This window comes from Homo sapiens, chromosome 3 (assembly GCF_000001405.40).
Source record: "Homo sapiens chromosome 3, GRCh38.p14 Primary Assembly".
NCBI lineage: Eukaryota > Metazoa > Chordata > Mammalia > Primates > Hominidae > Homo > Homo sapiens.
The window spans coordinates 72,845,842-72,870,708 of NC_000003.12; the positions used below are offsets into that span (position 1 = coordinate 72,845,842).

Genomic DNA, 24,867 nt, shown 5'->3' on the forward strand with positions numbered 1-24,867 from the left:
CAGAATGAAAATCCCTCTAAGCCAGAATAAGGGGTCAGTTTATGGATGAGTTTGTTATAATGGTTACAAACGCTAACTTTAGTGTCAGAATCTGAATTAACTCCTAGATCTGCCATTTACCAGATGTGTAACAACCTTCTTTGTACAAGTTAATTATTCTTCAAGAATCATAAATCCCTCTTCTGTAAAGGGGGGAAATAACAGTAACTATCCAAGCGTTACTATGAGCATGAAATGATAATGCAAAGAGCTTAGTGGCCGGCACAACAGGTGAGCATTCAGAAAATGTGAGCTATTATTACCAGCTCCCTTCCCCTAAACTCTATAAGCCTAGAGTTAAATTCTTACTGCAGAGAAAATTATATTTGCTTACATGGGGCCTCCGCAGCTACAGTCTCCATTCTTCAAGGAGAGGGACCAGGTTTTATTCATCCTTGGTATAGCAAACTGTATGTTCTTTTTTTTTTTTTTTTTAGACAGTCTCGCTCTGTTACTCAGGCTGGAGTGCGATAGCGCAATCTTGGCTCACTGCAACCTTCGCCCCCCAGGTTCAAGCGATTCTCTCACCTCAAGCTTCCCAAGTAGCTAGGACTACAAGCGCGTGCCATCAAGCCCAGATAATTTTTTTGTATTTTTAGTACAGATGGGGTTTAACCATGTTGGTCAGGCCGGTCTCAAACTCCTGACCTCAAGTGATCTGCCCACCTCGGCATCCCAAAGTGCTGGGATTACAGGAGTGAGCCACCACATCTGGGGGCAAACTGTATTATCAAAGAATGCCCATCTCACAGCACTCTTCCCAACCATGAAGGTCTATGTTCCCTCCCCTTAAAATTCAGCAGGCTCTGGGACTGTTTTGATGAATACAATAAAGCAGAAGTGACACAGGAATTAGACCTTTAACATATGAATTTGGGGACAAGAGTTGGGGGGGTGCCCACAAATAATCCATCCACGGCAACGGGTAAATAATAAAGCCTCGTTGTAACACTGTCCTAATAACAAATGAGATAATCCGTATAAAGCACTAACCTGGAGTAAAAATTCAATAAATATTTGCTACCACCATAATCTTCTTCCTATTCTTCACATCTTGGCTTAAATATCGCCTCCCCAGAAAGGCTTTTCCTGACCACTTTATAAAACATGGGCCCTTTTTCATTCTCTATTAGTGCACTTCTTTCTCCTCATAGCACTCACCACAATTAAGTACACTGTTTATTGTTTTCCTCTCCCCAGTGAAAAGTACATGAGGGCAGGACTTTGTCTTGTTCAGCACAATAATACCAACACTGAAACTCAATAAATAAATTAAAGAAATAAGTGAATTAAAAAACTGGAAAGTGCAATAATTCAAATACGGACGTTATATGGTCTAAGGGAAATCTGAGCAAAACTGGTTCAGCAACAGTGAAAAAACCACCTTGACTGGTGGAGAAGGTTTGTACCACAAAAGTACTTGGGTGGGAAAAGTAGGATGCAGCTACACTTCAGAAAGATTAGGAGGATGGATAAAGAGAAGGACAAGAGATTGGCAATACTTTAGGATGAATATGTAGCAGCGGGTTCTGTGGAATGGGGTTAATAGCAGTGCTTATCCCTAAGGATCACCGTCAAAGTTAAATGAGATACACCATCATAAAGCACTTAACGGAACTGCTTGTCCACCACACTACGAGTTATCAGTGTTAGCTGCTACCAAGGTTACGATTCTGCAAGGAGAATAATTTAAACAGATCAAGTGCTGACAGACCCTCACGGAGACTTGGGGGAAACAACCACACTTCAGGGACAAAACCAAACAGAAGAGCAGCAGACAGCAGGGAAGCAGGAGAACTAGGCTAATTTGGTGTCAAGAGGTCCAAAAAAGGTAAGAATTTCGGTAAGTAGGGAGCGGACAGACAAGAGATAGATCAACAGAAGGCGGCCTGGGCAAAGTTAAAAGGACCGACGGGTTGGGAAGTCACGGAGATGTCAGCGCGCGCCGTTCCCAGGAAGGGAGAGACTGGGAGAGCAAACGCGGAGTGAAAGGAAAGAACAGAACAAGTCAGAACGGGACGAGAACTAGGGCGACAGGGCAGAAACGGGAAAGTGACACGGTCCAAACGTCACTTTTTCAAGTGATTCCGCAATCCTTTGATATGGGATTTAAGAAAGCTCAAGAAGGAAAAGGGCTTCCGCAGCATCTAAAACGCACCCCTGGAAGAGGGCAGTTCCCTGGCACCAAGAGAAGCTGCGGAAACGTCGGGAAAAGGCATTCGCGCAATCGAGCACTGCTCTCTCGACCTTGCATTCTCCCTCTAAAGCAGCTATCTAACGAATGCGCCTTTCCTGCGGCCAGGCACCCCGAACTCGCCTGAGAAAGTATGGCTTGGCGTAGAACTTGAAGTCAGACCCCTCGAAGTAGACGTCGAACTCGGAGACCCGGGCGTAGGGCACGCGGATGGCGATAGTCAGGAAGTCCGGATCCTGGCTGAGGTCGAACGCCGGGGTCAGCATCGCCGCACCGGACGCAAGGGCCGGCGCCGCTCGCTCTCACTGCCGCCGCGTTCCCGCCACGCAAACTCTCCAACTCCCCACGCGCAGGAACTCTCGGTGTGAGGGACGGAGCTTCCGGCTCGAGGCGGAAGTGCTCGCGCGTAAGGCAGGAAGTCTCTCCCCACGCCAATCTCCATGGAGACGGGACGCCGTTCGAGAAGAGGCGGAACTTTCAAAACCCCCGGGCGGAGAAAGGGCGTGGCGAGTGGTGCCTGGGAGCCGGCGTTGAACCGGCGGGATGACTAGCAACCGAGCCTTTTTCGAGGTTCTTAGAGATGATTTTAACAGCACTGGCTTGACAGGTAAACAGACGTGCGTTTGAATCCCTTCCTGGCCACAACTTCTCAGCTGTAAGACCTTGGGAAAGTTACAAAACCTCTCTATATCTTCTGTAAAACGCGGATAATGCGAGAACCTAGCCCCATAGAAATGCTGTGAGGGTAGCATGAAATTGTGCATGTAGAACTCTAATAACGAACTTGGCAAGTTGTCAACGCTTGATGTGCTGAAGTAGTCACCGCAGTAGCCACAGCAGCACCGTTACAGTGGTTTCCCTTAGTTCTCACCTGCCTTGTGAACAATTCCTCTTACACTTTCCCTTTCCTCCCTCTCTCTTTCCACTTCTCTTTTTCTGCAGCTTTCTCTCTCATTCTTAACGGCTTATTTGAAGAGTTTTCTCTTTAACAGAGCGTCCGTCCCGCTAATCTCATCTAATCTACGCTGCAAACTCTAAAGAAAACGGCTCAGAGAGGTTAATCAGTACGTTTTATAACCATGCATTTTACAGTAATTAGAACTCAGAACGTTTGACTCTTAAACCGTGTCGGTGACTGCATTCACAAATTAAGGTCCCTCTGTATTCCCCTTCTTTCCTTTTTCTCACTCTTGTCCTTACACTTGTCTGAGGACATCTTTTCTGTCTTTTTTTCTACTTGTCTTCCTTGTATTTTCTCCCTTTGGAGTGTGCCCCTTACACTCTCTCAGTGCCTCTCCCGCTGGTTTCCCTCTTCCCCCACATATTCCCTTGGCCTTTCCACACATGTTGTTTCCTGTTATTCCACCACTAATTAGAATAATCCAGTTGTGGTATTTATTCCGTGGTTTTAAGTATCAGTGGAAAAGGGATGAAAAGTACTCTCCTAGGACAGTGGAGATAACCAGAAAACTTCAAAAGTCTTTTCAATCTCCAGCTGTTTTATGATTCTAAGGAGACATTCTTGAAACTTCATTAGGACTCAGAAAAAAAATTAATAGTAACAGGGGCTAACATTAACTGAATATTTACTATGTGCCAGCACTGCAGCAAACCCTTTGTAATGATCTCATTCTCCCTCCTGACCGCTCTATGAAGTAGGCATTATATATTCCCTTGGCTTGCACAGGATCTCACAGCTAGTAAGTGGTGCAATGGGAATTGAAACCCAGGTGAGTCTGATTCCTAGGCCCAGGCTCTACACTATTACAGAGTTGACTCCCTCTGTTATTACCACCTACTTTGTTTCACATTCTAAAGCCAAGCCTGCCTGCTTTAGACCATACTGAGCCTTACAAGTAATAGGCACTCAATATTGACAATGAATTGATGCCAACTTTGATTTAATAAAGCTCTCAAAAGGTCCCTTGAGATAGGCCTGTGACTAAACTATTCCAAATTAGCTTCTTTACAAAGAATCTTGGCCGGGAGCGGTGGCTCACACCTGTAATCCCACCACTTTGGGAGGCCGAGGGGGTGGATCACCTGAGGTCAGGAGTTCGAGACTAGCCTGGCCAAGATGGTGAAACTCCGTCTCTACTAAAAATACAAAAATTAGCCAGGCATGGTGGTGTGTGCCTATAATCCCAGCTACTCAGGAGGCTGAGGCAGGAGAATCCCTTGAACCCAGGAGGCGGAAGTTGCAGTAAGCCGAGATTGTGCCATTTCACTCCAGCCTGGGTGACAAGAGTGAAACTCCATCTCAAAAAAAAAAAAAAGAAATAATCTTTACATCTGCCATGGGACCTCATTCCTGTAGGTCACAAGCATTAATATTTTTAAATTATTAATGCCAGAGAATCAACTGAAACAAGCTATGCTATCCATGAGGAAATTCTAATTGAAAGCACTTTGCAAACTAGAGCTGTGCATTTCCTGGGTACTTTATTATGTGTCTGGCAACACACACACACACAGGACTGCAACACAGGAAAACAGACAACATGGTTCAGTGCTGCCGTCATTATAAGAAATATATACTGCATCTGCTAAATCACAAAATACGGATAGTTTCAAGTATATAACAAGGTTTTGTTGTTTTGGGTTTCTGTTGGTTTTTGTTTTCTTGCAGGCAATAGTTCTCTTATTTTTGCATTTCTATTAGTGGTAAATATAAGTTATAGATTCATTCTCACTTAAGAACATAAAGTTCCTTTTGGCTGCCATGCAACTTTGGTTCTTTCTCCTGCTTCCTCAAAGGCAGTCCTAGCTATCACTTCAGACCCTTTTCTATTTCTACATCCATTTCTATGGACCCTGTTGCTTTGTGTTTAGACCCACTTTATATGGGCACATTCTCACACTATGAAAGTAATTCTGCAACATGCTTTTTTTCCTACTTTGGTTCATTTTTGAGACATAGCTATATTGATTCATAGATCAAATTGAGTTTCTATTTCTGAATACAGACATTGCTTGAGAATAAAGACATTATTTTAATGTTTTAAATTAGCTCTGGTTTAGAGGGGAAAACAGGAATGCAATTTTTCATCATTTTTGAGCATTCAAATGTTGCAGTGTTTTTTATCTTTTCATTTTCTGAAAGCTTACTTTTGAATGGCCTTCCACTGTTTTAAAAATAGTTTTTCCTTCTGGCCTATAGAGAACATGAAATAAAATAATAAGATAAAGTTTTTTCCATGACCAACTTATGTAGGACAAGTGTGTAACCTATCATCTTTCATTATATTAAATTGGCCCCTCCTCTGGTCTAACAACCCTGATTGTGATCCATAAGCTTCCAAATTAAATGTTAAATTAAAAATGGTTTTTATAAACAATTCCAATGTCAGCTTTATTACCAAGTTCTATTGTTAGAAGTCTTTTAATGGTGAAATACTCCTTGTTTCCAGAAGGTGGCATGCATATAGGTGATTAAAACAATGTTATCTCAAAGAATGGAGCTTTAACCTATGTTGAAAAATAGCTTCCTGAATAAGTTGTTTATAGCGCTAGTTCATTCTCTGAGCCATTTTGGGGAGGTGGTGGAATCTTACACAGTATTTGCAAACTACGTCTTAACCACTGTTATTATTTTGGCATACATCTTTTCAGACTCCTATTCATAAAAGTATGGGAAGTATTTTCAACAAAAGAATGTCATAATCTATATTTGCTTTCTTCACTTAATATAGGATTACAGGCTGGGCACGGTCGCCCATGCCTGTAATCCCAGCACTTTGGGAGGCCTAGGCGGGTGGATCACTTGAGGTCAAGAATTTGAGACTGCTGTGGCCAACATGGGAAAACTTTGTTTCTACTAAAAATACAAAAAAATTAGCCAGGTGTGGTGGCACCACCTGTAATCCCAGCTACTCGGAAGGCTGTGAGGCAAAAGAATCCTTTGAACCTGGGAGGTGGAGGTTGCAGTGAGCTGAGATTGCACCATTGCACTCCAGCCTGGGTGACAGAGCAAGACTCCATATCTCTCTCTCTCTCTCTCTCTCTCTCTCTCTCTCTCTCTCTCTCTCTCTCTATATATATATATATATATATATATATATATATATATATAATATATAAAATACATATGTGGCATTACAATATTTCCATTTGACTACATTTTTGTCAAGAATAAGTTTATCCACAATTGTACTCTTTGTTTTTTTGTTGTTTTTTTTTTCAGAGACAGGGTCTTGTGCTGTTTCCCAGGTTGGAGTGCAGTGGCAGGATCATAGCTCACTGCAGCCTCAACCTCCTAGGCTCAAGCAATCCTCCCACCTCAGCCTCCCAAATAGCTAGGACTACAGGTATGTTTCACCACACGCAGCTAACTTTTTTTTTTTTTTTAGTAGAGACGGGGTCTTGCTATGTTGTGAAGGCTGGTCTCAAACTCCTGGCCTCAAGCACTCTTCCCACTTCAGCCTCCCAAAGCACTGGAATTATAAGAGTGAGCCACCACTCCTGGCCTAGTGTTAGAACTCTTAAAAACAGAATTGAACACAGTGATGATTCATTTTAAGAAAGGAAAAAAAAAACTAATACTAGGATCATGAAACTAGAGTAAAAATACCTAATGCTAGATGACGAGTTAGTGGGTGCAGCGCACCAGCATGGCACATGTATACATATGTAACTAACCTGCACAATATGCACATGTACCCTAAAACTTAAAGTATAATTTAAAAAAAATTAAAAAAATACAAAAGTTAGAGTACAAACTGGATAACACATTTTGAAGTTTGAAAAAAATCCTTTTGTATAACAGTGGTAATACAATGGCACTCATGAGTTTTTTATTTAAATTTATTTTATTTTAGGTTCGGGGGTTCATGTGCAATTCTGTTACATGGATATATTGCATAATGGTGGGGTTGTCCTTCTAGTTAGCCATCACCCAAATAGTGAACACAGTACCCATTAGGTAATTTTTCAGCCCTTACCCCTCTCACTCTCCCCCCTTTGGAGTCCCCAGTGTCTACTATTTCCATCTTCATGTTCATGTGTACCCATTGTTTAGGCTCCTACTTATAAATGAGAACTTATAGTATTTGATTTTCTATTTCTGAGTTATTTCACTTAAGATAATGGCCTCCAGCTCCATCCATATTGCTGCAAAGGACTTGATTTCATTCTTGTTTATGGCTGCATAGTATTTCATGGTGTAATTATACCACATTTTTTATTTTATTTATTTGGGACAGAGTCTCGCTCTGTCGCCCAGGCTGGAGTGCAGTGGCGCCGTCTCGGCTCACCGCAACCTTTGCCTCTCGGGTTCAAGCAATTCTCCTGCCTCAGCCTCCCGAGTGGCTGGGACTACAGGCGTGTGCCACCACACCCAGCTAATTTTTTGTATTTTTAGTAGAGACGGGTTTCATCATGCTGGCCAGGCTGATTTTGAACTCCTGACCTCAAGTGATCCACCCACGTTGGCCTCCCAAAGTGCTGGGATTATAGGCGTTAGCCACTGCACCCAGCCACCACATTTTCCTTATCCAGTCAACCACTGATGGACACTTAGGTTGATTTCATGACTGCTATCATGAATAGTGCAGCAATACATATATGAGTACAGGTTTCTTTTTTTTTTTTTTTTATGAGATGGAATCTTGCTCTGTTGCCCAGGCTGGAGTACAATGGTGCGATCTTGGTTCACTGAAACCTCTGCCTCCCGGGTTCAAGTGATTCTTCTGCCTCAGCCTCCCGAGTAGCTGGGACTACAGGTGCGCACCTGGCTAAATTTTTTTGTATTTTAGTAGAGATAGGATTTCACCATGTTGCCCAGGCTGGTCTCGAACTCCTGAGCTCAGGCAGTCCGCCCACCTCAGCCTCCCAAAGTACTAGGATTACAGGCATGAGCCACTGCACTCAGCCAAGTGTCTTTTTGTAATACAATGATTTATTTTCCTTTGGGTAGATACCCAGTAGTGGGATTGCAAGTTCAAATTATATTTCTATTTTTATTTATTTGAGAAATCTCCATACCGTTTTCTGTAGAGGTTGTACTAATTTCCATCCCCACCAACAGTGCATAAGCATTCTCTTCTCTCCACATCCATGCCAACATCTGTTGTTGTTTGACTTTCTAATAATGGCCATTCTGACTGGTGTTAAGATAATGTCTTATTGTTGTTTTAATTTACATTTCTCTAATTAGTGATGTTGAACATTTTTTCATGTTTATTGGCTACTTGTATGTCTTCTTTGGAGAAATGTCTGTTCGTGTCCTTTGCCCACTTTTTACTGGGTTTTTTCCCCCTTGTTGAGTTGTTTGAGTTCCTTGTAAATTCTGGATATTAGTCTTTTGTTGGAGGCATAATTTGCAAATATTTCCTGCCATTGATACCCTGAGTTTTGCAATTCCAAGCTATAAACTGCTTCTAAGAGGACACAGATAAATTCGTGGGTAACTGACAGATAAATACAGGACTGTAAAAGAGGTTTAAGGGATGGTCCCAACAGGATGTAGACTAAGAAGACCATGAGTCTGACACTGGTGACCTCCAGTGGTTTTCAAACCCCTCTGGATTTAAGTGCAGCTATTTTTGTTCTTTTCCCCAATCCTTTAGCCCATTCACATTACAGTTGTTAGAGTTAAACTTGCTAAGGAGCACAGTGTTAGCACTAATGTAGCATAGTAATGAGTATTTCAGGGAGGATTCAGCCCAATTCCAATTTTGCACAAGTTCGATAAAGCTCCAAAGAAAATCCAAAATGGCTACAGCTGACATAAGAGTGTTTTTTGACAAGATTTCTGAGCAATGTACCTAAGGGCTTAGTGATATATATATCAAGATGCTAGTCTTATCCCATTAAATGAAATGCAGGATCACAAAAGAATGCTAACTGAACAGCATTTCAAGCCTCCTTCATTGTTTAACATCATATTTTGAAAAAGCATCTGCAAAAGGTACTATTCTGATGCCCTGCCCAGATTCCCTTTATGGAGCCAGGAAGCTCATCTGTCACTAGCAGTGAATGTAATGGCTTGCCACTGATCCCGCCAAAGAATTGCCTTAGCTCAGGGTTTCTTCACTCCAGTATTTTGTGCAGGATCATTCTTTGTTGCAGAAGGCTGTCCTATGCACTGTAGGATGTTTAGCAGCATCCTTATCGTCTAATCTCTCAATACAAGCACGAGTTTTCCTGGTGTAACAATCACAAAACTTCTCCAGACTTTGCCAAATGCCCTTGAGGGGACAAAATTGCCCAGGGCTGAGAACAGCTGCTCTAGATTGATAGAAGAAACCTCCAGGATTTAATTACTACCACGACGACCGCTACCCCCTTGCCCAAGCCTGCAATCATGAAGAGCGATATGGGGTTCAGAAGACCACCTCAAAAGGGAAGGTGACTCTGTGGCATGGCTTATGCTCCAGAGTTTTGTTTTGTTTTTTTTAATGGGATCCAGCCGAGGCTAGATTTTCCCCAAACCCACATCTTTCTTTGGCTGTCTTCCCTTTTCCCATTCCCTTTCACCTCCTCCTTAATAAATTTCTCCAGAGAACCCTTCCTCATAGATCACATGCATCAAAATCTCTCAGGATCTGGCTGGGTACAGTGGCTCACGCCTGTAATCTCAGCACTGTGGGAGGCAGGGGTGGGCAGATCACCAGAGGTCAGGAGTTCAAGACCAGCCTGGCCAACAGGGAGAAACCACGTCTCTATTAAAAATACAAAAATAGGCTGGGCATGGTGGCTCACGCCTGTAATCCCAGCACTTTGGGAGGCCGAGATGGGTGGATCACCTGAGGTCAGGAGTTCGAGACCAGCCTGGCCAACATGGTAAAACCCTATCTCTACTAAAAATACAAAAATTAGCTGGGCATGGTGGTGGGCACCTGTAATCCCAGCTACTCGGGAGGCTGAGGCAGGAGAATCACTTGAACCTGGGAGGCAGAGGTTGCAGTGAGCCGACATCGCACCAGTGCACTCCAGCCTGGGCAACAAGAGTGAAACTCCATCTCAAAAATAAATAAATAACAATAAATAAATAAATAAAAATACAAAAATTAGCCGGGCGTGGTGGCGCATGCCTGTAGTCCCAGCTACTTGGGAGGCTGAGGCAGGAGAATTGCTTGAACCTGGGAGGTATAGGTTGCAGTGAATGGAGATCGCACGACTGCACTCTAGCCTGAGCGACAGAACAAGACTCTGTCTCAAAAAAAAAAAAAATCTGTCAGGATCTGCTTCTAAGGAACCTGACCTATGACCACACTTACGGAACCCCTTAAACATTCTTCACACTCCTGCAAAATTACTGGAGAAAAGTTTCTACAGTACCCATGGAGAACAGCTGATTCAAGTCTTTATCTTACTTATTAAAAAGTTCTTACAGTCTAGTTATCCTTAGCCTAACTAATGTTTTCCTTGATTCAGAGTGAACATATTTTTATTTTTATTATAATTTTTTTTGAGTTGGAGTCTTGCTGTATCGCCCAGGCTGGAGCGCAGTGGCGCGATCTCGGCTCACTGCAATCTCCGCCTCCTGGGGTTCAAGGGATTCTCCCACCTCAGCCTCCCAAGTAGCTGGGATTACAGGCACATGCCACCACACCCGGCTAATTTTTGTATTGTTTAGTACAGATGGGTGTGAACATATTTTTATTCCCTCATGCAGAAATGATTTAAATGTACCTTTTTTGGCTAGAAAGATTGTGGTGGGATTGTAAACTGGTATAACTACCTTAAAAAATTGTTTGGCAGTATCTACTAAGGCTAAACATATGTATACCTTGAAATTCCTCTTTTATACATAACAGAACTGAAGTAATATTCAGTCGAGAGACACGTACCAGAGGGTTCATGGATACATTATTCATAATAGTCAAAACTGGATACAATTCAAGTGCTCATTCAGAGTAGAATGGGCGGAGCCGGGCGCAGTGGCTCACACCTATAATCCCAGTACTTTGGGAGGCTGAGGTGGGCGGATCACGAGGTCAGGAAATCAGGACCATCCTGGCTAACACGGTGAAACCCCGCCTCTACTAAAAATACAAAAAATTAGCTGGGTGTGGTGGCGGGTGCCTGTAGTCCCAGCTACTTGGGAGGCTGAGGCAGGAGAATGGCCTGAACCCGGGAGGCGGAGCTTGCAGTGAGCCGAGATCACTCCACTGCACTCCAGCCTGGGTGACAAAGCGAGACTCTGTCTCAACAAAAAAAAAAAAAAGGAAAAAAAGAAAGAGTAGAATGGTCAAGGGCCAGGTGTAAGGGCCAGGTGTGGTGGCTCACACCTGTAATCCCAGTGCTTTGGGAGGCCAAGGTGGGCAGATCACCTGAGGTCGGGAGTTCAAGACCAGCCTGACCAACATGGAGAAACCCCATCTTTACTAAAAATACAAAATTAGCCAGGCGTGGTGGCATATGCCTCTAATCCCAGCTACTCAGAAGGCTGAGGCAGGAGAATCACTTGAACCCGGAAGGCGGAGGTTGCAGTGAGCCAAGATCCCACCATTGGAATTCAGCCTGGGCAACAAGAGTGAAACTCTGCCTCAAAAAAAAAAAAAAAAAAAAAAAAAAAGAGTAGAATGAGCAAATTGTGGTATATTCACTCAATATTGCCACACAGCAGTAAGAATAAATTACTGCTATGCATGGCAACATACATGAATCACATTAGGCACATTAAGCCAAAAAGGCAAGACCCAAGAGAGTATATATTAGATATTTCCACTTATATGAAATTCAAAAACAGGCAAAACCAGTGTATGCTCATAGATGTGAGAATAGTGATTACATCTGTGTGAATGGTTATTGAGGGGACATGAGACAGCCCGCTGGAGTACTGAAAATTTGGTTTTTATCTTAGTTTGAATGGGAATTATATGAGTCTATTCATACACAAAAATTCATAGAGCCATGGATTTAAGATTTGTGCACATTACTCTGTGTAATATCTCAATAAAAAAGAGAATCTGTGGGTGCCTGGACAACAGTCAGAAGACTCTGGATGCTGGGAAAGGATGCTGCTGCTGTTGGCTTATAGCTGTGTTCCTCACAGGGCACTGCCCTTACCTAGAGAGAACTACCTTATCCAGTTACCCTCCTCCAGAGTGCTGATGTGGATACAAAGTCCTTAACTCCTTGCCCTGATATGAGACAACTCCGAAAAGGCTGTTAAATACTGAAGAAGAAAAAAGTCATCCCAACTCCAGAGCTCCTGGTAGAAATGGTATGGCCGGGCGCGGTGGCTCACGCCTGTAATACCAGCACTTTGGGAGGCCGAGGCGGGTGGGTCACGAGTTCAGGAGATCGAGACCATCCTGGCTAACATGGTGAAACCCCGTCTCTACTAAAAATACAAAAAATTAGCTGGGCTTGGTGGTGGGTGCCTGTAGTCCCAGCTCCTAGGGAGGCTGAGGCAGGAGAGTGGCATGAACCCGGAGGCAGAGCTTGCAGTGAGCCGAGATCACACCACTGCACTCCAGCCTGGGTGACAGAGCAAGACTCCATCTCTTTGTATAGGTGTATCTCCAAAAGCATCCCCCAAAACCATCAGCACTCAACTTTCCTTCTTAGAGTCTTAGACTGGAATGCTGACCTTCCCTTCAATACTGAAATTCCCCAAATTAACTCTGCAGCCTCCTTCTTGATTTTCCTGCAGTGTCCTTTCCCGGCATTTCTTCACTGAGGGGTCTTAAAGCCATGAGTTTGCCTGTACAGTCATGTGCCCCATAATGACTTTCCAGTCAACAACAGACCACATATAAAAGACAGTGGCCCCATAAGATTATAATACTGTATTTTGACTGTACCTTTTCTATGTTTAGATATATTTAGATATACAAATACCTATCATTCTGTTACAATTTCCTACATTATTTAGTACAGCAACATGCTGTGCAGGTTTGTTGCCTAGGAGCAAAAGCCTATACCATGCAGCTCAGGTGTATAGGAGGCTAGGCCATCCAAGTTTGTAAGTATGCTCTGATGTTCACACAATCACTTAAAGACAGAATCACTTAATGACACATTTTCCAGAACGTGTCCCTGTCATTACATGATGCATGACTTTACTTTAAAAATCCATCCAGGCATGGTGGCTCATGCCTGTAATCCCAGCACTTTGGGAGGACAAAGCAGGAGGATCACTTGAGGCCGGGAGTTCAAGACCAACTTGGACAGCAGATCAAGACTCTGTCTCTACAAAAAAATATTTTTAAAAAAATAGCTGGGGCTGGGCGCAGTGGCTCACACCTGTAATCCCAGCACTTTGGGAGGCTGAGGCGGGTGGATCATTTCAGATCAGGAGTTCTAGACCAGCTTGGCCAACATGATGAAACCCCGTCTCTACTAAAAATACAAAAAAATTAGCTGGGTGTGCTGGCACATGCCTGTAATCCCAGCTACTGGGGAGGCTGAGGCAGGAGAATCACTTGAACCCGGGAGACGGAGGTTGCAGTGAGCTGAGATCATGCCACTGCACTCCAGCCTGGGTGACAGAGTGAGACTCCATCTCAAAAAAAGAAAAAAAATTAGCTGGGTGTGGTGGCGTGCACCTGTAGTCATAGCTACTTGGGAGGCTGAGATGGGAGGATCACTTAAGCCCAGGAGGTTGAGGCTTCAGTGAGCTATGATTGCACTGCTGCACTCCAGCCTAGGCAGCACAGCGAGGCCCTGTCTCTAGGGGGAAAAAATCCATTGCCAGGGCGTTCTATCTTCCTGAATGTCTTTTGATTATTGCAGCCTCCCAAAAGAAAGCCAATCTTGTTGAAGGAAAAAAACAAAACAAAACGAGCTCTAAGTAGGAGGAAAATTGGCCCTCCTGCAATTTGAAACTATTTCTGTAGATTATATGTATTGTAAACTCATTACAGGCACTTCTCTGTAAAGTTAAAATAGTATTACTGGCTTGTTTTATATTGTTTTCCCAGAAGAGTTCACATTAGTTGCTTTTTTTCCAAAATAAGGACCAATCCTTTCAACAGGATGTCTTAGTGTTTAAAATGCAGTTAGCAATTTTGGTATTGTCAATTGTACATAATCAAAACATGCCTTCAGATCCTTCTTCTAATCTTCTTCTTTTGATTTGTGCTCCATTCTCTACCCTGCTTTTTGCATATCCTCTGCAAGTGTTCATTCATGCTTCCATTTACTTGAACTTCTTTTCTCTGCGTTGACATTTTCTTTGTTTCACATCAGTTTTTTGATGAATTTTTTTTTTTTTTTTTTTGCCTTACAGGTTTTGTTTATTTACACTTGTTTTTCGTGGTCATCTCAGTATTTAACAGCCTTTTGGTTGTGATTTTTTTTTCTCTTTTTATTTTTTTCCTTTGGTTGTGATTTTTACATTGTAATTTATAGCCAATTAAGCATATACTCTCTTTAGATAAGACATGAAAAAACCGTTTCTGGCCGGGCGCAGTGGCTCATGCCTGTAATCCCAGCACTTTGGGAGACTGAGGCGGGAGGATCACGAGGTCAGGAGATTGAGACCATCCTGGCTAACACGGTGAAGCCCCGTCTCTACTAAAAATACAAAAAAAATTAGCCGGGCATGGTGGCGGGCGCCTGTAGTGCCAGCTACTCGGGAAGCTGAGATAGGAGAATGGCGTCAACCCGGGAGGCAGAGGTTGCAGTGAGCCAAGATCAAGCCACTGCACTCCAACGAGACTCCGTCCCAAAAAAAAAAAAAAAGAAACCATTTCTACTGGGAGCTCTGGAGCTGGGATGGCTTTTTTCCTCTTCAGTTTTTAACAGCTTTTTCAGAGTTGTCCCATATTGAGGCAAGGAGTAAGGCCTTTGTATCCACTTATACTCTCTTATCTAAATATATCTTTAGATAAGACATGAAGAAATAAGAAAATGTAAACATGTCTTCTTGACTTCAGAAGTCTCCAGCCTCTGGGATAGTGTCTGAACAGATGCTGTAGAGCCAGTTGCCTTCATCATCACAGTTTGTGGGATAATTTGTTTTTTTCATTTCAGAAAACAATGGTTAGATTCTTCCTTTTTCCTTTGGGCAACGCTGCCCCCAAATCATGATAAATTGATGGTCTAAATTAAATCAACAACAATAATAGCTGGTATTCATTGGTTGCTTGTTGTATAGTAGCCTTTTCTTCTAACTGATTTGCTAACAATATCACTATTTCATCCTCCTATCATTTATATGAGAAAAAGTGCTATCATGTCACCACCACCACCACCACCATTGTGTAAATGAGGAAACTTGGATATGGAGAGGTTGAGTGATTGTCCCATGGCTAGTAAATGACACAGCCAGGATTGGGACCCTTGAGCTTATCCAGACTCCTGCCTATATTCTTTTATTTATTTATTTATTTATTTTTTGAGACACAGTTTTACTCTGTCACCTAGGCTGGAGTGCAGTGGGACAATCTTGGCTCACTGTAACCTCCACCTCCCAGGTTCAAGCGATTCTCATGCCTTAGCCTCCCAAGTAGCTGGGACTACAGGTGCACACCACCAAGCCTGGCTAATTTTTGTATTTTTAGTAGAGATGGGGTTTCACCATGTTGGCTAGGCTGGTCTTGAACTTCTGACCTCATGTGGTTTGCCCACCTCGGCCTCCCAAAGTGCTGGGACTACAGGCATGAGCCATAGTGCCCAGCCATCCTGCCTATAGTCTATAAAACATGTGTTTCTCTTCTTTATGCTGTGGGAAGAGAGAAGGAGGAGACAGTGAAGGTAATAAAAGAGGAAAGAAATCTTTCCTAATCTCAAATAATTTAGACTTTAGTTATGAAAATAAAACACAGAAGCATTCACAGTTGTGACAGCCAGTTTCTAAAGATGCCCCCTGCCACCATGAGCACTACACCCAACACTTACCCGCACCTTGTGTAGTACCCTCCCAGAATGAATCTGAGTTGGCCCTGTGAAGCAAACAGAATGCAGCAGAAAAGAACACTGTGTGACTTCCAAAGACCAGGTCATAGAAGGCCTTGCTGCTCCCATCCTCAACTCTTAGAACCTGTGCTCTGATGGAAGCCAGCCATGGTATCAGAAATCCAGTATCCTAAAACCGCAATGCTGTGGGGAAACCCAGCCTAGCCGCATGGAGAGGCTATGTGGCCATCCCAGCTGTCCCAGCCATTTCAGCCCAGGTGCGGTTCACGTGAGTAAAGAAGCCATTTTGGACATTCAAACCCTAGCAGATGCCATGTGGAGAAAATCTAGCTAACAGCCGGAAAGAAGGCTCCAGGCTTAAGGCCCCATCCCAGCTACCTCCAATCATCAGACCCACCCCAGCAGAGGGTCCAGTTATGTCAGATGAGACAGAGCCATCCCCACTGTGCCTGATCTAATTCCTAATTCACAAACTTGTGAGCATAATAAAATAGCTGTTGTTTTAAGTCAGTGGGTTTGGAGGAAGTTTATAATGTAGCAGTTGATAAATGGCACAGCAGCAAGAAACAACAGTGTACAAATTCATGTCTGAGAGATCCAGAGATAGAGAAATGCTTGAGGGTTGAAACAATTAGAAAAATCACATTTCTAGTAAGAAAGTCTGGGGCCCCAGTAAAGGCTCTGGGGAGAAAAAAATGCAGATAAATGGGGTAGAACCAGGTCACCTTATCTGATGTAAAGGATACAGGAACTGAAGCAACAAGCAATGGGATTGGAACGGAGTCTAGGGCAAATTGCTGAGGGTGGTGAATGGCAAGGAGAATAATTCTATAGCTGAACAGAACTATAGAAATCATTTAGTCCAACCTTAAAAATCATTTAGTCCAACCCCCCCCTTTTTTTTTTAACAGACGAAACTGAAAGCTGGAGAAAGTAACCCTGGAAGGTTACCCAGCTGGTTGGTGGGAGGTTTTTTTTTTGTTTGTTTTTTATTTTTTGAGATGGAGTCTTGCCCTGTTACTCAGGCTAGAGTGCAGTAGTGCAATCCCAGCCCACTGCAACCTTCGCCTCCCAAGTTCAAGTGATCTCGTGCCTCAGCCTCCCCAGTAGCTGGGATTACAGACGCATGCCACTACACTCGGCTAATTTTTGTATTTTTTAGTAGAGATAGGGTTTCACCACGTTGGCCAGGCTGGTCTCAAACTCCTCACCTCAAGTGATCCGCCCACCTCAGCCTCCCAAAGTGCTGGGATTATAGGCGTGAGCCACCGCGCCCGGCCAGAGATGTTAATACTTGAGGCCAAGGAGTGGTTTCTTTCCTCCAGGAACCCACAGTTGGTTAGGGAAAGAGCATCACTGTTCTGTGTCTAAATCTAGATAGGCTTTCTCCCCTAGCATTAAAAGTACTGTGGTGTAGCCACTCTAAACATCCGTACAGACGCTATCATGTTGAAAGCAAGATTCTCTAATTTTGTAGTTGTAAAATCTCTATCAGTTTTTCCTCCTCCTCTCCTTCATATTAAAAATAAAACAGAACCAAACCTCTAAACCTTTAGGTCTCTAAACTTTCACCAAATTCTCCATTAAGTTTTTTGAAACAACTTTACTGACGTATAATTTACATTTCATAATAATCACTCTGTTTTAATTGTACTTATTATTCAGTGATTTCTAGTATCAATTTGTGTAATCATCAACATAGTCCAATTTCAGAACATTTCCATCTCCCCAATAAAATCTCTCTGCTCATAACAGTTAACCCTTGGTCCAGCCTCCAGCTGCAGGCTACTAATCTACTTTCTGTCTCTGTAGATTTGTCTTTTCTGGATATTTCATGTAAATGCAATCATACAATATGTGGTATTTTCACATAACAACGTTTTTTAGGGTCCATCCATGCTGTAACGTGTGCCCGTAGTTCATTCCCTTCGATTGAGGAATTGTATTTGTGGATGGGTCTACCATATTTTGTGTGTCCATTTACCCCTTGAGGGATGTTTGGCTCATTCCTAGTTTTTCGTCTCATATTCATAAGTCTGCATCCGTTAAGTGTTTTTTGTTTTTGTTTTTGTTTTTGTTTTTTGTTTTTTTTGTGACAGAGTCTCACTCTGTCCCCCAGGCTGGGAGTGCAGTGGCGTGATCTCGGCTCACTGCAAGCTCCACCTCCCGGGTTCACACCATTCTCCTGCCTCAGCCTCCTGAGTAGCTGGGACTACAGGCGCCTGTCACCACACCTAGCTAATTTTTTTTGTGTGTGTATTTTTAGTAGGGACAGGGTTTCACCATGTGAGCCAGGATGGTCTCGAATTCCTGATCTTGTGATCCGCCTGCCTCAGCCTCCCAAACTGCTGGGATTACAGGCCTAAGCCACCGCACCCAGCCATCCATTAAGTTTTAAAAGTAGTAAGCATTGCTTAGTAAGAGAAGCTACATATAGAAATTTTGGCTGGGCTTGGGGGCTCACAGTTGTAATCCCAGCACTTTGGGAGGCTGAGACAGGAGGATCACTTTAGCCCAGGAGTTCAAGACCAGCCAGGGAAACATAGGGAGACCCCCCCCAATCTCTTAAAGAATTTAGGGTTTTCTGAGGGAATTCCTTATTAAAGAAAAAAAAAGAAACAGGAGAACACAAAGTAAATAAATTCAGCTTTTAGAGATAACCACGTTAACTAACATCTACATTTTTTTCTTTTTTTAAGACGGAGTCTCTCCCTGTCCCCCAGGCTGGAGGGCAGTGGTGCAATCTCGGCTCACTGCAACCCCTGCCTCCCAGGTTCAAGCGATTCTCCTGCCTCAGCCTCCCGAGTAGCTGGGATTATAGGCGCCCACGACCACACCTGGCTAATTTTTATATATTTAGTAGAGACAGGGTTTTGCCATATTGGCCAGGCTGGTCTCCAACTCCTGACCTCAGGTAATTCACCCGCCTCGGCCTCCCAAAATGCTAGGATTATAGGTGTGAGGCACCGTGCCCAGCCCACATCTACATTCTTTTTTCTAAGCCTCTATGCTTTCTTTCTGTATAAGACTAAGTTGTACTTACTTTTTGATAGCTTATTTTTAAATTCACGTCATAAAAAAATCTACGTCAGTAACATTTTATTGAATTGATGTATCATCATCCATTATCTAATTGCAATTATTAGATAATTCAGTTATATCCAATTTGTCATTATAAACAACATTGACTGTTGCTATACTCACAAAATCTATCTAAACTAAACTAACTAAAATCATAAAACTATTTAGTTCTATTTTCTTTCAGTTATGTTATGGTTTATTGTTTACATGCAACTTTTTATTTCATCCTGAGTGCATTTTGGCATCAGTTCACCCCAAAGCTATCCTTCCACACTGATTTGAACAGCATTCTTTATTGTACTGCACAGATTAATATTGGCCAGAATGTTTTCCTGGGGTTTTCTTGGAGGGTTGTTCTTGTTGCTGCTTCTGCTTTTGGAAAGAGAGTCTCACTGTCACCCAGGCTGGAGTGCAGTGGCTCCATGCAATCATGGCTCACTGCATCCTGATACTCCTGGGCTCGAGATCCTCCCACCTGTGCTTCCCAAGTACTTGGAACTACAGGCACACACCACCATGCCCAGCTAATTTTTATTTTTTGTAGAGGCAGGTCTCACTATGTTGCCCAGGCTGGTCTTGAACTCCTGGACCCAAGAGATCCTCCCACCTTGGCCTCCCAAAGTGCTGGGACTACGGTTGTGAGCCACTGCACCTGGCCTGTTTTCTTGGGTTTTATGCTGTTTGATGAAGCTACTTGTGCCAATGGCATCTTGTTTTAATTATTGTAGTGAGCAAGTCCATTACTAACACATAGCAACATCAGTCTTCCTTCACCATTATCCTGTTTCATATTGTCCAGTTCCCCCCCAAAAATAATCCCAAGATGTCTAATTTTAGTTATATGTATGTCCTGGGAATTTGGGATAGAATTTACACATTTTAGGCCAGGCATGGTTGTTCATGCCTGTAATCCCAGCACTTTGGGAGGTCGAAGCGGGTGGATCACTTGAGGTCAGGAGTTTGAGACCAGCCTGGCCAACATGGTGAAACCCTGTCTCTACTAAAACAAAAATTAGCTGGGCATGGTGGCACATGTCTGTAATCCCAGCCACTCAGGAGGCTGAGGCAGGAGAATCACTTGAACCTGGGAGACAGAGGTTGCAGCGAGCTAAGATTGTGCCACTGCACTCCAGCCTGGGAGACAGAGACCCTGTCCCCTCACCCCAAAAAATTACACATTTTAATTGCAAAATCGTGTCTTAGTTCACCATGACAAGAACTGGTGAACTAGTGAACAACTGGGGGCAAAATTGTATTCGGAGTTTACCGTGACAAGAACCAGTGACTGATGAACAACTGAGTTCACCAGTTCACTGATTGAAATACCTCTTGGGTGATCTATGTGTAGCATACATAATCATGGTCTTTTCTCCTCCCTCTTTCTCCATCTTCTAACCAGGCAAAACTGGTGAACTTCTTCCCCTTTCCCTGTGATGAGAGGGACATGAACTATGAGTCAAGGTTTTCTAAAAAGTGGGTAAATCTTTTTTTTTTTTTTTTTTCCTGAGATGGAGTCTCGCTCTGTAGCCCCACGCTGGAGTACAGTGGTGCAATCTCAGCTTACTGCAACCTCTGCCTCGTGGATTCAAGCAATTCTCCTATCTCAGCCTCCCAAGTAGCTGGGACTACAAGCACACACCACCATGTCTGGCTAATTTGTGTATTTTTTAGTGGAGATGGGGTTTCACCATATTGGGCAGGCTGGTCTTGAACTCCTGACCTTAGGTGATCCACCCGCTTCAGCCTCCCAAAGTGCTGGGATTACAGGTGTGAGCCACCATGCCCAGCCTCTAAAAAGTGGATGAATCTTAAAACCATAGTAGACCTAAGCAGCATTGATAAAATGTGTATTAAGTATGAACTTTCAATGCACAAGACTCAGGCGTGCAAAAAAGTAACTTTGATTTTCCATCTCTGAACTTAATTTCTCTCTTTAGCTGCAGTTTGCCAGTAAATTCATAGTAAACTCCATCACTTCAGAATTTTTCCTCAATTTCTTTGGAGAACATTCAAAAAGTTAAGGTTATTTTCTTCCTCCATAATTCCCCTCAAGGTGCCATTTCATTTCTAGGACGTTTTCAAAGAATCACAGAGTTGGGGTAGCCTGAGAGGACATCTGATCCTTGGAGTCCTGTCTTACACAGACATGTGCAGGAATGTCCAGTCCCATATGGTCTCCAGGCATGAAGACTAGTGTTTGCTGACGCATCCAAAGTCCTATTTCATAGCTCTACAGTCTGAGACATTCCCTCATTGGCACAAGGACCTACACTATTCCTTATACCCTAGCTAGAGGGGGGATCTGTATTAGTCTGTTCTCATGCTGCTAATAAAGACATACCAGAGACTGGGTAATTTATAAAGGAAAGAGGTTTAATGGACTCACAGTTCCACATGGCTGGGGAGGCCTCACAATCATGGCAGAAGGCAAGGAGGAGCAAGTCATGTCTTAGATGGATGGCGGCAGGCAAAGAGAGAGAACTTGTGCAGGGGAACTCCTCTTTATAAAACCATCAAATCTCCTGAGACTTATTCACTATCACAAGAACAACATGGGAAAGACCAGCCCCCGTGATTCAGTTACCTCCCACTGTGTTCCTCCCACGCTACAATTCAAGATGAGATTTGGGTGGGGACACAGCCAAACCGTATCAGGGTCCCTAGTGGACCCTATGTTTTACCAGCTCCCAGTTTGGCCTTCCTCAGGCAGTGCCCTCCTGTCTAGAGACCAAGCCCATCCCCACTTCTAGAACACACACTGGATAGCCAAGACCCCATAATTCCCAATATAATTCCCTACATTAATGATCCTGAGTCTGTTTCCAGGGCTGGTATTGACCTCTTTGCCAAGTGGTCCTCCTGAAGGCAAACTGTGCCTCTGGTGTACAGCAGTTGTCTGCAAAGGCACGGATGAAGCTTGGACATGTGGACAGGGGTGTCCATGCATTCCCAGGGTGGAGGGAAAAGGGATAGAGCAAAAGCTGGGAACTGGGGACTGGCCTTCCACCATGGCCATGTACAAGTCTAGAACTCAATGTGCGTTATGGCCTTCAAGGTCATTATAAAAGCATGTTGGTCAAGCAGAAGCATATAACTCATTTGACAGTGGTTAGTTTGACTTATAACTTCTGTGTAAACATATAGTAGGAGGCCTTCATTTGTACTCCTGCCCCAGAGCCTGTGAATACTAGGGGTGAGCCAGATAGGACTCTCTGGCTCAGAAACCTAATATTCTCCCTGGGACATAGAAATTTTGGCCGTGCCATGACCTACTCCAGGGCCATGGGAGGCTACCTCAGGTTTCTCTCCTCTGAAGGTCTCAGCCATCCCACTCCACCTTATTATTCTTGCTCTGTGGAGCCCAGGGAACACCTTTGAGATCAACACCTCCCAGGGCTCCAGCAGCAAAGCAGATTCAAGTGTCCTTTAGCCTCAATTTCCTCAAAATAACTGTATATTGTTCACCACACCTTAGGGATTCACTCTAGAATTTCTTTTCTTTTCTTTTTTTTTTTTTTTTTTTTTTATTTGAGACAGAGTCTCACTCTGTCGCCCAGGCTGGAGTGCAATGGCGTGATCTCGGTTCACTGCAGTCTCCTCCTCCCGGGTTCAAGAGATTCCCCTGCCTCAGCCTCCTGAGTAACTGGGACTACAGGCGCCTGCCACCACACCCAGCTAATTTTTTGTATTTTTAGTAGTAATTTTTGTATTTTTAGTGATTTCGTATTTTGTATTCACCATGTTGTAATTTTTGTATTTTTAGTAATTTTGTATTTTGTATTCACCCTCTTGGCCAGCTGGTCTCGAACTCTTGACCTCAGGTCATCCACCCACCTCAGCCTCCCAAAGTGCTGGGATTAGAGGCGTGAGCCACTATTCTAGTGTTTCTTTTGAAATTACCATAGGCTAATAGACTCAGAAATTATCTTGAAATGTTTAAAACAATAATCTTTTTTAGGTTTAGGAAAGCATATCAAATGTACATATCACAAAGTAAATGTGCTTCCTCTTCCACCTTCCCAGAAAAAACCAATAACCTGACTTCTAATACCAGAGATTCGTTTGACCTGTTTTTGAGCTTTATATGAATAAAATAAGATAGTGTGCACTCTTTTGTCTTTGGCTTTTTACCCTCAATATTAGGTTAATGCAATTCACCCACAGTTGGACATAGCAGCAGCTTTATTTAATCTCATTGACATGTAGTATTTCATCACTTGAATATGCTCATGTATCCACTCTACTTTTGTTGGGCATTTGAATAATTTCCAGTTTTTAGCTATCATAGATAAAGTTGCTCTGAACTTTCTTTTGTGTATCTTTTGATGCACTTAAGTATGATTCCTATTAAATGTATATTACATCTGGGAGTGGAATTTCTAGTCATAGACTATGCATATATTTAGTTTTAATAGATTCTGTCGAAGAGTTTTTCAAATTGGTTGGACCAGTTTACACTCCCACTGGGAGTGTATGAGTTTTCGTTGCTTCACAATCTCACCAATGCTAGATATTATCAGTCTTCTTCATTTTAGCTATTCTGAAAGATATGTCATCATTGGTTATGCCTCCCAATATTTTGTTATGAAATTTTTTGGCCAGCCACAGTGGCTCACACCTGTAATCCCAGCACTTTGGGAGGCCAAGGTGGACGGATCACCCGAGGTTGGGAGTTCAAGACCAGCCTGGCCAACACGGTAAAACCCCATCTCTACTAAAAATACAAAAATTAGCTAGGCGTGGTGGTGCACACGTGTAATCCCAGCTACTCAGGAGGCTGAGGCAGGAGAATCGCTTGAACCCAGAAGGCAGAGGTTATAGCGAGCTGAGATTGCGCCATTGCACTCCAGCCTGGGCGGCAGAGTGAAACTCTGTCTCAAAAAAAACAAATAAATAATTAAAAAGAACTGTTTCAAGCACACAGAGAAGTCTAAAGAAACATTATAATGAATATTGTATATTCACCTATACTCTTATATTTTTAATATTTCCATTTATCATTAGCTATACATTCTGTTAAAAAAACAAACAACTAACTTTAGATTTTGTTAGGAAAAATATAGCTAATATTACTATTTTCCTTCTGAACAAAACAGGAACCTTAACTTTTTGCTTTTCTTCTTCTTCTTCTTCTTTTAAGTAACAGGGTCTCACTCTGTTGCCTAGGCTGGAGTGCAGTGGCATGATCTTAGCACACTGCAGCCTGCAACTCCTGGGCTCAAGTGATCCTCCCACCTCAGCTTCCTGAGTAACTGGAATCACAGATATGTGTCAGCACACCCAACTAATTTTTTTATTTTTTTGTAGAAACAGGGTCTTGCTATGTTGCTCAGGCTGGTCTCAAACTCCTGGCCTCAAATGAGACTCCTGCCTTGGCCTCCCAAAACACTGGGATTACAGGCATGAGTCATTGCACCAGGTCTTAACTTTTTGTTTTTTTTTTTGTTTTTTTTTTGAGACAGAGTCTCGCTCTGTCGCCCAGGCCGGACTGCGGACTGCAGTGGCGCAATCTCGGCTCACTGCAAGCTCCGCTTCCCGGGTTCACGCCATTCTCCTGCCTCAGCCTCCCGAGTAGCTGGGACTACAGGCGCCCGCCACCGCGCCCGGCTAATTTTTTGTATTTTTAGTAGAGACGGGGTTTCACCTTGTTAGCCAGGATGGTCTCGATCTCCTGACCTCATGATCCACCCGCCTCGGCCTCCCAAAGTGCTGGGATTACAGGCGTGAGCCACCGCGCCCGG

General features: G+C 43.3%; 1 protein-coding gene across 7 annotated transcripts in view, besides 1 other annotated feature; it reads right to left on the minus strand.

Annotated features, from left to right (window-relative positions):
• SHQ1 (SHQ1, H/ACA ribonucleoprotein assembly factor) overlaps positions 1-2,604 on the minus strand; it is a 123,174-nt gene extending 120,570 nt beyond the window's left edge. For all 7 annotated transcript variants that reach the window (XR_001740192.3, NM_018130.3, XM_011533898.3 and 4 more), the window contains exon 1: positions 2,357-2,604. Coding sequence is in view for 6 of the 7 variants with exons in the window: in NM_018130.3 (NP_060600.2) it covers positions 2,357-2,499 (143 nt within the window). In the remaining variant the exon portion in view is untranslated. The remainder of the gene's footprint in view (positions 1-2,356) is intronic.
• Positions 2,823-2,922: an enhancer, noted in NCBI's record as "active region_20093". NCBI's record gives its function as "activates an Ori minimal core promoter by ATAC-STARR-seq in GM12878 lymphoblastoid cells {active_cell/tissue: GM12878}" and the evidence as "EXISTENCE:reporter gene assay evidence [ECO:0000049][PMID:35858748]".